Source organism: Homo sapiens, chromosome 6 (genome assembly GCF_000001405.40).
Source record: "Homo sapiens chromosome 6, GRCh38.p14 Primary Assembly".
Taxonomy (NCBI): domain Eukaryota; kingdom Metazoa; phylum Chordata; class Mammalia; order Primates; family Hominidae; genus Homo; species Homo sapiens.
In genome coordinates, this window is record NC_000006.12 from 78,166,333 (window position 1) to 78,183,403 (window position 17,071).

General features: G+C 36.0%; 1 long non-coding RNA gene across 1 annotated transcript in view, besides 1 other annotated feature; it reads right to left on the bottom strand.

The window, feature by feature from the left end:
- Positions 1 to 17,071, bottom strand: part of LOC105377865 (uncharacterized) — a 374,941-nt gene that overhangs the window by 240,452 nt on the left and 117,418 nt on the right. The gene's annotated exons all lie outside the window — the stretch shown is intronic.
- Positions 16,486 to 16,655: an enhancer, noted in NCBI's record as "experimental_95804 CRE fragment used in MPRA reporter constructs". NCBI's record gives its function as "activates a minimal promoter by MPRAs in K562 erythroleukemia cells, with activity observed for both the introgressed and non-introgressed 6:78892620 variant alleles {active_cell/tissue: K562}" and the evidence as "EXISTENCE:reporter gene assay evidence [ECO:0000049][PMID:34662402]".

Sequence of the window (17,071 nt, forward strand, 5' to 3'; positions counted from 1 at the left end):
GAGCAAATCTAGCACAATTGCAAATATAGAAATGGTTTGCAATTAGTATATCGGTCAATTCTGAATAACAAAACTGGCTGAACTTGTGTCTTAGTAAATTTGGGCTGCTATAACAAAACACCATAGATTAGGTAGCTTATAAAAATGCCAGAAATTTATTTCTCACAGTTATGAAACCTTGGAAATCCAAGATCAAGGCATCAGAAAATTGTCTGATGAGGCTTGCCTCATAGCCAGCTGTCTTCTCCCTGTAATCTCACATGAAAGAAGGGATAAGGAGTTTTTCTCTTCTTATGAGAGCACTAATCCAGTCATGAGGGTTCTTCGTTCATGACCCAATCACCTCACAAAGGTGACCCAATCACCTCACAAAGGCCCTATCTCTTAATATCATCACATTGGGGTTTAGGATTTCAACATATTCATTTTGGGGTTAGGGATAAACATTCAGTCCACTGCAACTGGCATGGATATGGAGATAGATAAATGCACAAAGTAGGGTGAACAAGATAAAGAACAAAGAAAAACACATTGAGACTAAGCTTTCAGATATTCTTAGTAAAGGGTTGCATCAATATCCTAGAGAGGAAGAATTATGCACACTGAAATTCTTTTGTAGTATCATATGTTACATGCCATCAATAAGCTATCTATATAAAATAAGCATGGCAAAGTGATGTTATCCGTCAGTAGTTGTTTTTCATTTCTCACATGCTGGTGGAGTTTCTTGCCATCCAGAATAAAGCTTTACTTATATCTAGGTTTAGCCATGTGACTAATTCTGGCCAATGAGGTTTAAATAGAAGTGTCACATGGCAGCTGCCAGGTAAATTTCTTAAGATTAAGTTGGCACCTCTCCATTTGTCCCCTTTTCAGAGTTTTCTTCATCCTGTTCCCTGGAGTACAGATACCACCTTTGTGGACCATAGGGTGAAGGATTATATGTTAGGGATGGCAAGGTGGTGAGCTGGAAAGATCCCAGGTTTTTGGAGGCTTCATAGAGCATAACTACCAAATTATCCTGGGACCATTTCTTGCCTCTGGATTTTGTTTATATGACAGATAAATTTATTGATATTTATTTAGATCACTATTATTTTTCCTTTTCTCTCACTTTCAGGCAAACATAATCCTAATTAATTAAATGTATTCATGAATCTATACACAGATTTATACTTGTATACATAGATCTTTCTATAGTGAATTACTTTTCAACATATGAGTCTGTTCTCTTGCTGCTATAAAGAAATACCTGAGATTGGGTAATTTATAATGAAAAGAGGTTTAATTGGCTCACAGTTCTACAGGCTGTACAAGAAATGTGGCTGGGGAGGCCTCAGGGAGCTTTTGCACATGGCTGAAGGCAAAGCAGGAGGAGTTGTCTTCATGTGACTGGAGCAGGAGGTGGAGAAGTGGGAGAGGTGCTACATACTTTTAAATAACCAGATCTCATGATAACTCACTCGCTCACTATCATGAGAACAGCACCCAGGAAGATGGTATTAAGGTATCAGAAACTGCCCTGATGATCCAATCACCTTCCTCCAGGCCCTATCTCCAACATTGAGGATTAAAATTAAATATGAAATTTGGGTGGGGACACAAATTCAAACGATATCAATACATCTTTTTGTCAAACTTTAAATGTTAGAAGAATGCTGCAAATAATAATTGATAAACATACTTCGGCTAGGCAAATCCAGTCAACATTTGTGGTCAATATTCTTTTTGAGAAAATGGACTAACTATGCAGTGCTACTGGATAAAATCAGAAAGAAATTGGGAGGTGGAAAAAGAGATGCAGGAGAATTGTAAAAAAAAAAAAAAAAAAAAAAAAAGAGGAAAGAAATAATTAGAAAAGAATGAAGAAAAAAATATATATAATCGATAATGAAACAGAAGATTTTATTGACTGGTGGAGGTAGATCCCAGCAAGATGGATGGGGAACCAGAAGGGGGATGGAGTGGGAAGGTGGTCTTGCTCTGGAGTTGGGCCACCCACCAGCCAGACTCTCCTCCGACTGCCCCCCGCCGAATTCCTTTTGGTGTCTGTGTTGTTCCACCATTGCTGGCATGCCCATGTCTGGTGGTGTCTGTTGGTTTGTTCTTCTGCTTTTCTCAACATTCAGCCCCATGTGTCTGGCCCACTAGGGTCTCAAGTTTTTATGGGCAGAGGATGGGGGCATGGCAGGCCAAAAGGCAACTTTTTGGGCATGAAAATAGAAATGGCTGTCCTCATTTAGGTCCTGTGGGCACGGGCTTCAGGGTGGAGCCCTCGTCAGGGACCCTGACCTTCGCTACCTAGCATTTCCCTGCCCCCATCCCATATCAACAACACATAATATATAACAAAATAATTTCAGTGTGCATTATTCCTCTTCTCTAGGATATCAATAAAACCCTTTGCAAAGAATATCTGAAATCTTAGTCCCACGCATTTTCTATTTTTGCTGTATCATGCTTATCCTACTTTGTATATCTTTCTACCTACAGGTACATGCCAGCTGCAGTGAACTGAATGCTCATGTTTCTTCCAAAAGGTATTTGTTGAAATCCCAAACCCCAATGTGATGATATTAGGAGGTAGGGCCTTTGGGATGTGATTGGGTCAAGGGCGAAGAGCCCTAATGACTGGACTAGTGCCCTCCTAAGAAGAGATGAGGAAAATCTCTCATTCTTTCCTTCTTTATTGTGAGATTATAGTGACAAGACAACCACCGTCTCTTGGATTTCCCAGCTTCAACAAGACTTTGTCACACACAAATACAGACACACACACACATACACATGTGCACACACATACATGCAGCATTAAATAATATAACCAGGCATGTTGGCATGCACCTGTAGTCCCAGCTGCTTGGGAGGTTGAGGCAGGAGGATGGCTGGAACCCAGGAGTTTGAGGCCAACCTGGACAACATAGTAAGACCTTGTCTCAAAAAAAAAGAGGAATATACACAGTTTTGATACACAGCTTTCTACATTCAGTATGGCAGACTGTCCCTGGGAATCCTAAACATTCACTGTCTTGATTAACACCCTTCAGACCCCAAGAAAACAGTTCTCCGCATCTGTTGAACTATGCCCTCAAAACACTAAGTAACTGGTCTCAGATTTCATGAATGTTTGTGGGTAGTGCTGTTTCAGAGTACCAAAATAATCTGTGCAGCATGACGTTTAGATCCAAGGGAAGAAGATATTTAACTCTGATAGCATTTAACTCCGATAGCATGAATTCGACAGCTTCTCTCAAAAACATTTCATTTCCTAGTTTTGCTAAGAGTTATTTTCTTGGTTTTTTTTTTTTGTTCCAATGTGAAGTTCTGGAGTTACTCACAAATTAATATGGTATTTGAAATATCACCTGTGGTACCTGGGGAATATTCCTCTCTCCTAAACAATTTAAATTCTCTTAAATTTGTATATGTCTAGACATAACAAGTATCTTGACACTGATTTTTGTAATTGACAACTAGACAAACACTGAAAACTGGAACAGAATTTTATTTTATAAAAATATTTAACAATATTTAATAAAATTGTCTAAATTAAAATTTATATTTATTTGTTGTTTTAAATGCCAATTTATTAACAATGTTTATTATTAACATTTGATTTTTGTCAATTTAAGGTTAATGATTTTTAATATTATAAGAAAAGTAACTTTTTGAAACCATATGTAAAATAGTTTTAACTTTTGAAATTTTACATGTACTTTAATGTATTATTAATTAAAATGTACATTTTTACACAATGAATACAATTTCATTTCTCTTTAATACTTTCAATGTATCACAAGATTTAAACATATTGATTACAACATAAGGAATAAAGATTTACCTTTTTGCTCTAACATCTTCATGTGGTTAGCTATTGGGACTCTTTAGTTCCTGTGTTTTCTTATTTTCCTTAAGTTCTCTTATTATACCATGTGTCACTGTTTATACTGACTAAAGAATTCATTCCTAACCATTCATTTTTACTTGTATTATGTCTCATTTATATAATGATAAAATGTAATGATGAGGAAATATAAAATGGATAAAATCAGAAAGAAATTGGGAGGTGGAAAAAGAGATGCAGGAGAATTGTAAAAAAAGAAAAGAAAAGAAATAATTAGAAAAGAATGAAGAAAAAGAGGGAACTGAAACCAGAAAATTTAAAAATGGCTTGCCAAGACACTCATGAATGAAATAAAGAAGAAACAGAGATGCAAAGAGCCATGCAGGGTGAAGGCCTAGCAAGTAAGACTTGTGCGGTCCCAACTCTGCTCCATAGACACTGTCACATCACTTAACTTTTGGTAGTCTATTTTCAACAGAATGCAAGGTTGGACTCAGTTTTAAAGTTCACTTCTATTTTTAAGGTTTCATATCTGAGAGAAAACAGTCCAGATATAAATTAAAATGACTGTAGTGCCTTATTACGGCTGATTTACTTTCACTAATAATAATTTCAGAAAACTGAGTATCTCAACATAAATATATGAAAAAATAAAAACACATTTATTGTTATGTGATGTACCAAAGTGATTTTTGCTTGTCAGGATCAGTATTTTACACTAGTTAAGCATCTCCCATTTGTGTGTCCCAAATATCCCTCTATGCTTTACAATTGAGGACACATAAGTAACAGTGTCAGGCTATCTAAACTTGAGGTTAAATTTAAGATCAGTAATGCAGTGACAATCATACTTCACTGCCTTTTTCCTCTCCTGTTATTGTAAGACTCAACCCTCAATTCATAGTGGGGATATTACATGTATGCATATTCAAATTCACTAACCTACCAATATAGTGATTGCTGGTTTTGTTCTGTCTTCTAGCTTTGGTCTCCTTGTACGTGTCTCCTATTAAAACCTCTACAGTTAATCCTCCAAACTGAATTAATTTTTTCTGCCATATATATATGTATACATACGTATATATGTATATATGTGTACATATATATATCTGCCATTTATATAAAATATATATAATACACACACACATGTCCTTTTAACCTCTGTATTTCTCCTTTGAACATGATTGCAATTAGAATTAAGGAATTATTTGTGTAATTATGTATTTCAATCTCTTCACACCATTGGATCTCTGTGAGGGCTAGGGGATGAGATAATGTTGCTCTTACGATGTATCCTGGCATCTAACACACAACCAAGATACGTGAATGCTTTGCTAGATTTCCAGGGCTAGAGAAGAATGCTGCTTCTAATAGCACCACTGCGTATGATCCACTTTTCCAACTATTGCTGTGCTTGCTGATGTTTGCATATCACCTGGCGTTTTTCCGCCACCCTAAGAGAAATCTACTGCTGAGGTCTTCAAAGTGCCAAACTGATGCTTTGTTCTCAGGAGTTCTCCAGGTCCTAAGCAGTTAATTCTGCTTTCCTGGCAGAAGTGAACGAAATACCTCTCAACCCCTTTTAAATTACATTTTGCACTCTGAATGTCTTTTAGGAGAAAATAACTCTTTCAGCTCTTATAACACAGTTCCTCCTACAACTCAGATGTGAATTATTTGGAAAAGAGAGGGTGTATATTTATGTGTATATGTGTGCATGCATACATGTATGTGTTCTGCCACTAAGGGTAGCACTAGATGTAAGAACCAACCTGAATGACAGGCAGTGTCTCCTTGTTTGAAATTGCCTCTTCATTTGGATTAGGAAGACTTTGTTTTAGGACAGAGTTTTATGCCTACTTCCTCTTCTCACACATCCTCCCTCTGTAGCCCTCTCATAAGTGTTCCAGAAATCCCCATGTGTCTGAATTTGTTGTGGACATATCTTACCTTTAGGCTTGGGTCACACACTGCCATGTCTGCCACAGGCAGAGGAAAAATACAGCAGAGCATTGCTGTTCTTCTGTGTTGCCTGTCAGTGTGTGGTACACATTCATCATCAATATATATTTTTAATGGCTGTGGCATCCCCTCCGTTCATTAGATATTATTTGAAATTGACTTGAATTCAACATCTCTATTATAATTATAACAATATTTAATTGGATATTTATTCTCAAAGACTTCAATAGCCAAGAATTCGAAAGTATGATAATTACCAATCCTATTCCAACTACACCGTTGCTCAATACCTGTGACCCTTGACAAGCCTCGAAGCTCTTTGTCTTAGGTTGTTCATGTAGTAAATGATAGGGGAAGACCACACACTTTCTCACCTTTTGAGTTCTCATTTCATTCTCAAACACAGGTCTGATATTTCTATAATTATATTTATATTATACAATATACATTGTATTTTAAATGCATAGAAATATAAAGAAGTAAATAAAAGTCACCTATACAGAACTGCTACATTTTGCTATGTGTTGGTGTTATGTGCATATTTTTTCTTTTATAAGAGAAACATATATCTTTATATCTTGCTCTTTTTATTTTATATTTAAGAACATTTTCTCATGTTAGTAAATGTTTATCAAAATAATGAAAAAAGTTGTTCAAGGTCACAATTATTAATGGCTGCATATTAGAATAGATGTGCTGTAATACATTTAATTAATATTATATTGATGGATATTTTTTATTTTTAAATTAAAATCAATAATGCAAGAGAATTCTCTCATACATATTCACACATACATATGTATTACAGATATTTATTGTATAATAATACCAGTAATCCTAGCTAATAAAACAGCTCACATATATAGGGATCTTATGTGCCAGCCTCTATGCAAAGGATTTTGCATGTATTACTTTATTTAATCCATACCATAATTCTTTGAGGTAGGTCTCAAAGTATTCCCACTTTGTAAATGAAAAAAAAGGAAGCACATGGATTTTAAGGAATTTTTACAAAATCACAGAATTAGTAAGCTTTGAGATGTAAGTCCAGGAGGTTACATACCAGGCACTAGGTTCTTTAAAACTATATCCTATAATGTTTTCATAAATATTTATATGCTAATTTCCTTAGAATAGATTATTAAAAGTCAAATTTCTGAGTCAAAATTTATTTAAAAAACTCATGGTCTGTATACTACTATATTTGGGATATGCCCTAGGAAGCAAGTCTAGACTATGTAGATACCAGGTTTAAATGTTAGTTCCATAGGAAACTGAATAGCATTGTCAGACTTCAAACAGGAGTTTTATTAAAAGGTTCAGAGGTGAATAATAAAATAGTCAGAAATATGGAAAATGAAAGAGAAAACAAAAAAATAAAAGACACAAAATAAGAAATTTCAAGTTAAAAACATGTGAAAAAAATTTAAAGATTAACTTTCTAATTTTCTTCTTCCCTTACTCACCAGCATGTTTCTGTCAAAAGGGTGTAAGTCCTCAATTCCAGAACCCTTTTCTTACTTATTTGAAACCAAGGAGAAAATAGAAAGATCAATAGAAATGAAAGAGAATCAAAGTTTAAAAATCAAAATTAGGAAATGCCCAATAAACAGACAAAAGACACCTAAGTATATAATCATTGTCATTTTGAATAAAGATTTTATCTTTCTTTCTTTTAAAAATAATCATGTGTCCCCTTGAGCGATGTTTATCTATTCATAGTAAAACACAAAAATAAGATTTTTAAAGTGAAGTCATCCTCATAAAAGTGAGCATATATTTCAGAAGTGTCCCCACTATCTAAGAGAGAAAATGGATAAAACTCTCAATTTAAAATTTGTCTGTTGTAATTATAGGATGGTAGTTAAATCTAGATTATTCTTCACAAACAAGGTCCTGCACTAACTCATTCCACACCTTGGGTGGTGAACTCCTTCATGGCAACCCTGAATAGTAGAAAAGTTTGTATTATTCGTAGTTGGGAAGGAATCAAGATGGCAGACTACATTGAGGTCCTATGTGCTCCTCCACGGAGAAGACCCAGAATAGTAAGTGGATACACTGAGAACAGATTGTCTAGAACAGAATGCTTTGATTCATCAGAGAAGAGATGGGGAGCACCAGAAGTAAGGAGAAAGTTTGCAGTAGCTTGCCCAGCTGGGAACCAACTGAAAGCTGGGAGAGGCTACGAGACACTGGAAAATAGTAAGAGAGAAATCCTCAGAAATCTGAAATGGGCTTTAATGATCTTGGGTATGGGAGAAATACTCAACCCGCTAGGGCCTGATGCCTGAAATACAGAGATGCCTATAGACTTCACAAGACGTTGCTCCAGAAAGGAAACGCACACAGAATCCCATAGGCATATAAAGCCTAGTGCAGCCTCAGATGCAAGCCATTTTGAGAGCCCCAATAACCGAGGATTTACAGACACAGCTGCAGTTGCTGTTCTGTTCCAAAGAGGGAGAGGGGAAACTGGTGGTGTTCACATACCCCTGGGAAGATACTTTGCTGTGAGCTGCCTTTGAGACTGAGATACAAGTGAACTGCATTCCACACAGCTTCTTGTTCACACTGCTTGCCTAGGTGATGCCCATTCTCTCTGGTCCCAGGCCCAAGGTACCATTTCAAGAGTTTTATGCCAAGCTGTTTCACACCCTAACCCTGAGTTTGGGCTTATGGCTGCAGCTACTGCCCAGCCAAGAGGGAAGTGAGGCTGTCTTACAACAACCTATGACAATACCCAGTGCCCTTCTACAGGCTGCTGTGAGACCAAGAATCAAGCAGACCATACTCCTCACAGCTTCTTGCCTCTGCTGCCCACCTGACACAGGCCCAAACCACTCCAGTCACATTTCCATAGATGGCATCATTTTGAGAGCTTATAGACATTTTTTGGTGATCTAGTAGCAGCAGTCACAGTAGGCATTTTAGTCTTGAAACAGATATTGGGTCTGTTGCTCTGTAGTGGGGAAGGGCTGTAACAGCCAGAATCGAGTGGAAAGTGTAGAGATTGCCCCAGCAGTAGGTATTGGAATTATATGCCCCCCATCATTGCAGGACTGGAGGAGGAGAGTAGCTGAAGCCAAATTTCTCCTGGGTAGTGAGACTTACAGCCAGAGACAGCTTTGTGACCTGAAACCCGGTCTGCATGTATCATTTCTGGGTGCTCTAGTCTGTTCCCTTGGTGAGTTAGGGAACAGTGTCCCACCAGCTCTGAGGAGCAAGAGAAAGGTGGAACCCACTCCTCTAATCTAACTCTTGGTTTGGTTTGCCCCTAAGGGAGGGTGAAGTGCAGCCCACTAAAGCTCCTGTTAGCACAATAAAAATGCAAGCATGGCACCAGCCACTGACAGCAGCTCCACCGAAGCCCAGGAATGGATGTAGAGACAAGGTTATCTCTTACCCCTTGCCATGTGTCCTCAATGCACTGTTGTGGACTTAGCAGCAGCTACTCCCTTAAGGGCCCAGGGAGCATGGGCAGAAAGAGACTGCTTCTTGGGCTTCTCCAGCAGCTCCACCCCCAACGAAGGCAAACACACACTGGAGAAGGGTGCTTTTCATACTTCTTCATTGCCACTTCCCATGCCCCTACCTGCTGGCTCCTACTCTTAAGCAACACCAACTAGAGTACAGCCTGAATTATACCACCAAGAAAAATTACATTGCTACAAAAGCAATGCCTGAGAAAGCCATTTCACAAACCTGCCTTCAACCAAGAAACCTGTACAGAGACGTGGCAACCTGAAAGCACCCAGAAACGAAGCTAATCAAACAATACGTACCATAGTCATACCCCCAAGGGAATAAAATCAAGAAGCCCCATCCAAATCAGAGTAAATTTTTTAAAAAACTGTCAGCCCTAGCAGACTCTCAAATGAGAAGAAACCAATGCAAGAACTCCAGCAATAGAAAAAGTCAGAGTGTTTTGTCACCTCCGGAGGATCCCACTAACTTCCAAACAATAGATCCTGACCAGAATGAAATGTCTGATATGATAGCTATAGAATTGAGAATATGGATGGCAAAGAAATTCACTGAGATCCAAGATAAAGTTGAAATCCAGCACTAAGAACACACACACAAAAAATGATCTAAAATATGAAAGAAAACATAGCCATATTAAGAAACAACCAAACAGAGTTTCTGGAATTGAGCAATTCACTACAGAAATTTAAAAAGACAGTTGAAAGTCTTCACAACAGACTAGACCAGAGGTCTCCAATCTTTTGTCTTCCCTGGGCCACACTGGAAGAAGATGAATTGTCTTGGACCACACATAAAGTACACTAACACCAAGGATAACTGATGAACTAAAAAAAAAAATTACAAAAAACTCATAATGTGTTAAGAAAGTTTATGAATTTGTGGTGGGCTGCATTATAAGCTGTCCTGGGTTGCATGTGGCCCACAGGCCATGGGTTGGACAAGCTTGAACTAGACCAAGAAGAAGAAAGTATTTCAGAGCTCGAAGACCAGTTCCTTGAATCAATCCAGTCAGACAAATGATCAATGAAACAAAAATTTGGTTTTCTGGAAGGATAAACAAGTTTCATAGACAACTAGCTACATTAACGAAGAAAAAAAGAAAGAAGATACAAATGGCACAATCAGAAATAATAAAGTTGACATTATAATTGATCCCACAGAAATACAAAAGGTACTCAGAGACTACTATACAAACATCTCTATGCCCATGAATTAGAAAATCTAGAAGGAACTGATAAATTCCTGAAAACACACAATCTCCCAATATTGAACCAGGAAGAGACAAAACTCCTAAGAAGACCAGTAATGAGTTCTGAAATTGAATCAGGAATAAAAAATAACCTACCAACAACAACAACAAAAGAGCCTCAGACAGACCAGATGGATTCACAGCCAAATTCTACCAGACATACAAATAAGAGCTGGTACCAATTCTACTAAAATTTTCCAAAAAATTGAGGAAGAGGAGCTTCTCCATAACTCATTCCATGAAATCAGAATTATCCTGATACCAAAATCTTGCAAAGACACAACAACAAAAAAAAATTACAGGCCAATATCCCTGATAAACATAGGCATAAATATCCTCAACAAAATACTAGCAAACCAAATCCAGCAGTTTATCAAAAGTTAATTACAACAATCAAATAGATTTTATTCCTCAGATGTGAGGATGGTTCAACATATGCAAATTAATAAATGTAATTCACCACATAAAAATAATTAAAAACAAAAACCATATGAGCCTCTCAATAGACGCAGAGAAAGCATAAAACCCTCAACAAACTAGGCATCAAAGGAACATAACTCAAAATAATAAGAGCCATCTATGACAAACCCACAGCCAACATCATTCTGAATGGGCAAAAACTAGAAACAATCTCCCTAGACTGAAACAAGACAAGGATGTCTACTTTCACTACTCCTATTCAACCTAGTACTGGAAATCCTAGCCAGAGTAATCAGGCAAGAGATAAAAATAAAAAGCATCAAAATAGGGAAAGAGGAAGTCAAATGATTGTCATTGTGGATGATAAGATTCTATACCTAGAAAATGCTAAAGATTCCACCAAAAGACTCCTGGAACTGATAAACAACTTTGGCAAAATTTCAGGATACAAAACAACATAAATAAATAGCATTTCTAAATACCAATAACATTTAAGCTGAGAACAAAATCAGGAATGCAATCCCGTTTAAATAGCCACACATAAATAATTAAATACCTAAGAATAAATCTAATTAAGGAGGTGAAAAATCTTTACAAGGAAAACTATAAAACACTGCTAAAAGAAATCATATTTGACACAAGCAAATGAAAAAGCATTCCATGCTTATGGATTAGATGAATCAATATCTTTAAAATGTCCATATGGCCCAAAGTAATCTACAGATTCAATGCTATTTCTATCAACTAACATCATTTTTCATGGAATTAGAAAAAGCTATTTTAAAATTCATATGGAACCCAAAAATATCTCGAATAGCCAAAGGCAATCCTAAGTAAAAATAATAATGCCAGGGATATCATATTATAGGAATTCAAACTATACTACAAGGCTACAATAGCCAAAACACCATGACAATGGTATAAAAATAGACACATAGACTTAATGGAAACAAATGAAGACTCCAGAAATAAAGATGCACATGGACAACTGACTGATCTTTAACAAAGTTGACAAAAAAAAAAAAAAAGAAAACAATGGGGAAATGAGACACTCTTCAATAAATAGTGCTCAGAAAACTGGATAGCTGCATGCAGAAGAATAAAAACTGGACTTCTTCCTTTCACATTATACAAATATTACATCAAGATGGATTAAAGACTTAAATATAAGACCTCAAAATATAAAAACCCTACAAGGAAAACTAGGAAATGCCCTTCTAGATATTGCCCTAGGCAAAAAATTTATGACCAAGTTATCAAAGGCAATTGTACCAAAAACAAAAGTTGACAATTGGGACCTAATTAAATTAAAGAGTTTATGCACAGCCAAAGAAACTATCAACAGAGTTAACAGACAACCTACAGAACGGGAAAAAATATTAGCAAACTATGCATCCAACAAAGGTCTAATATCCAGCATTTATAAGGAACTTAAATCAACGAGAAAAAGACAAGCCCATTTAAAAGAGGGTAAAGGACCTGAACAGACACTTTTCAGAAGACATACAAGGGGCCAACAAACATGAAAAAATGCTGAACATCACTAATCCTCAGAGAAAGGCAAATTGAAACCACAGTGAGTTACCATCTCACACATGTCAGATGGTTATTATTAAAAAGTCAAAAGCAACAGTTATCAGTGAGGCTGCAGAGAAAAGGGAATGCTTATACACTGTTGGTGGAAATGCAAATTAGTTCAGCCCCTTTGGAACCAGGCTAAAGATTTCTCAAAGATCTAAAAATAGAAATATCATTTGACTCAATAATCCAATTACTGGGTATATATCCAAAGGTATATATCCAAAAGAAAATAAATCATTCTACTAAAAAGACACATGCACTTGTATGTTCATTGCAACACTATTTACAATAGCAAAAACATGGAATCAACTGAGGTCTCTGTCAACAGCGGACTGGATAAAGAAAATGTAGTACATATATACAATAAATTACTACACAGCCATAGAAAATCATAAAATTACGTTCTTTGCAGAAATATGAATGCAGCTGGAGGCTATTTTATTTTAAGCAAATTAATGCAGAAACAAAACTATATACCAAATATTCTCACTGTAAATGGGATATCTCCCACTGTAAATGGGAGCTAAATATTGGGTAATCATGAACATAAAAATTGGAACAATAAACAATGGAGATTCTATTAAAAAAAAAAGAGGGAGTGAGAGGGCATGGGTTGAAAAAGCACCATTGGGTATTATGTTCATTACTTGGATGATGGGATAATTAGAAGCCCAAACCTCAGCATCATGCAATATACTCATATGACAAATCTGCACATGGGCCTTCTGAATCTTAAATTTAAAAATTATTATGACTTTTAGTAGAAGTAAAGCCCAATATCTTATTAAGTGTTTAAAATGTTAGCAATTCAATACAAACTATTAAGGCAGTGTAATATTATAGATTAATTTTATTTTCTTAGCAGTGGATTGTCATTTTTGTATCTTGAAGTGCCACATGGGTAGGAAAATTAGGCTTTGAAATTATGAGCTTGAGGAATAGGGAAGCCAACAGTGTAGCCTTTAGTCTGTGGCCAAAGGCCTGAGAGCCCCTGGCAAACCACTGGTGTAAGTCTAAGAATCCAAAAGCTGAAGAACTTGTAGTCATATATTCAAGGGCAGGAAGCAGCCAGCATGGGAGAAAGATGGAAGCCAGAAGACTCAGCCAGTCTAGTCCTTCCAGGTTCCTCTGCCTACTTTTATTCTAGCCATGCTGGCAGCTGATTAAATTGTGCTCACCCAGATTGAGGGTGGGTCTGCCTCTCCCAGTCCACTGACTCAAATGTTAATCTCCTTTGGCAACACCCTCACAGACACACCTGGGAACCGTACTTTGCATCCTTCAATCCAATCAAATTGACACTCAATATTAACCATCACAGGGGCCATTGTGTGGTTGTCACTGGGTTTTTGTTCACAAAGTTGAGTGGGAGAGCAGAATCAGTAAGCAATTTTGAAAAGCTTTGGTTATGGGTGAGACAGAATAAAAACTGAGCTGTCTAACCAGAGAGAGGCATTTTCTGGGAAATGACAGAGATATTTAAAAAGAAATTTTATAGTTTCTACTGTGGGATACGTAATGAGAATCTTTTTCCTCATATCCTTATGGAATCTCTAGGAAAAATAACTGTCTGTTTTTAACACATTCAATTCCATCTGGTTTTGAAGCTGCTTTGAAGAGCAAAGCATACCTTCGAAGGGTGGAGTAGAGAAAGAAAAGAAGCTGCCTACCAGTCACATACTGGTTATGTAAGTCTTATAGAATCTAGTTAACGTCCTTGTTATTGAAGACCAGGTTTTTCATTTCAGACATAATAGAAACTTGAAACATTATTACTTTGCAGAGTCTGCCTGGCTAGATTTGCAATAATAGGAACTAATTAGAGGTACCTTTACAAAAATAACTTTCGTGTTTATCTATTACTAATAATTTTCATTTCTTGAATTCATTTAGGCTTTTCACAACTCAGGTTCTCTATGATATATTCTTTCAGAAAACCCATAATTTCATGTATTTTAGCTATATTTAGAATGTTAAAATAGTTAAATTTCATGAAAAATGTCTAATATATCTTAAGTTCAATTATAGAAGTTTCAGTCCATATTTTGTTCTACTTGAGAAATACTTAAACTTTTATTTTCACCAGTCTAGACAATCAGATATTTTATGATTCTCTAAACATAAAGATGCAATTTTTATAGTAATATACACACTCTCAGCTCTATAGTCATATATCTTAATGTATTTTATTTCTTTCAGTAATGGAAATCTCATATCTGTGCCTCCCTCAACATAATTTTATTTAAAAATTATTTAATGAGTTAATATTTATGCAAGAGCCTTCCAATGTTTTCTTTTAAACTTTGAATGAATATTTTCAATATTTTCTCTTAATCTTGATTCATACTTTATCTTAAACTTTATTGATAGTGTCAATCATCATAACAAAACAGTGAGCATGGCATATCAACTAAAATGTTTACATAAGTGCAAAAATGTCAATTTACTTAAAATTTCATTATTCAAGTTCTTCAAGGAACAGAAAGTGATTTCAAATGTTGCTGAGGTATTAAGGTAGATGAAGGCTGGGAACTGAGGCTTAGCTGGGAACACTGGTAACATTGCTAACACTGATAAAAGGAGCTTCACTGAAGTGGTGAGGAGAAAGCCTGATCAGATGTAGTATAAAAGTGAGCTGGATGAAGAGTTAGACAGTAGAGGCAACACTGTGAGTTTTACAATAAAAAATGTAGAGATAGAAGATGGTAATTGGAGGAGGTCTGTGAAATCAAGAGGAAGTATTTATGAAGATGAATGACATTAAAGCATGCTAATTTCATGAGGGGCAAGACAGACAACATTCCCCTGGAAGACTGGTTGTTCCAGTTACTTCCATTGTATTATTTGTATTATTCCTTCCATTGATATTATTTGAGTATCACCCCAGCTACTGTGAATAATCTAACAGAGAGGGAAAGTTTAGTACTAAAGGAGATCAAGGAGTTAATTGCAGCATCACAGTTCCAGAATATGTGAGAAGCTAGTACAGAAATTGAAGGATTGGCCTTTTGTAACAGAATGATCAGGTCAGCACTTCATTAGCAGAGAAAACAGTGTGAAGGGCACAAGCAGAGGGAGATTAGAAGTTTGGTTGATGGAAGGGTTTTTTTATGTTTGCTCTTTTTCTTGAAGCAGATAAATAAGATAAACAAGGTCATCAGCTGAGTGTGATACAGGTGATAGGTATTGCAGGTTTGTGGAGGGAATAGAAAGCTGAAAAATAAGAAATGTTCTTGGGAAGCAGCCTGTTTTCTGTTACAGCAGGAAGAAACAAACTTTCAAAGAAATAGATGGGTATGTGCATGCAGGATTTTATGACAGACTGTGAGGTTTTTTTAAAAAAAAGAGCAGTGGGAGGCTTTAGGACAGTAGTTTTCAACACTGGCTATACATTAAAATCAACTGGAATTAAAAATTTACCTGTGCTTGGGCCATGCCCAAGATTAATAAAATCAAAACCTTTGAGGTTGGATTCAAACGTCAGATTTTTCTAAAAGCTCTTCACAGAGTCCTCATATGAAACCACTTTTGGGACCTGGCTGAGGGGATGAGGCAGCATGAAAGCTTGAGATTACAATAAGGCAGAGGATGAATAGGGATGACCTGTGGCTAGACTCTTGATGTGAAGAAAGGTTACGCTGATCTAAGTAATGTAGTAATGCAATATTCTTAATGAGCTCTTCATTAAAACTGTATGTATATCTAGTTTTTAAAGCAAAATTATCATAGATATTCATGTACCCTTCCTTTAGACATTTTCATTTTGTAAATAAAGGAAAATACAGGGAAAACCCAACAGTTACGTGATCTCTGATAAAGATGTTTCTTGCAAAATCTGTTATCTCACTGGTAGGTACTTGATAAAGTAATCTGTATACTTTATTAACTTTATTTTCTGAAAAACCAAGAATAAATTTTTATTACATTAAGTTAAAGAAAATGTATATGATTGATTAAAATTAATTCTCATTTTTCAATGTAACTAAAATTTATATACAAAGAAGACTTGGCTTGCAAATAAAACATCCTATAACACTATTTACTTTAAAATTAGATCTATCCCAAAATTCTTCCTGGAATTGGATCCTCATCAACTTCAGTTGACTCCTAAAAGCTGTGAATTGGGACAGGAGCAGTGATTCAGAAGTCTCCCAAAACAGACAGCCAACAGGGGAGACAATCAAAAGGCTGTGGATTTAGCACTTAGGATTTCCCCAGCATCTGTCTGAATTTCTAAGAGTTATGCCACCTTTTCTTTCGTTGTTGTTGTTGTTAGAATTTTGCTTCGCATTTTTCTTTTCTGTTTAATTTCTGTTGGTACATAGTATGTATACGTATTTCTGGGTTACATAACATATTTTGTTACTAAAATACAATAAATAATAATCACATCAGGGTAAATGAGGCATCAATAAATAATAATCACATCAGGGTAAATGAGGCATCCAACATCTCAAGTATTTATCTTTCCTTTATGTTACAAATAATCCAGTTCAACTCTTTAAGTTATTGTTTAATGTACAATA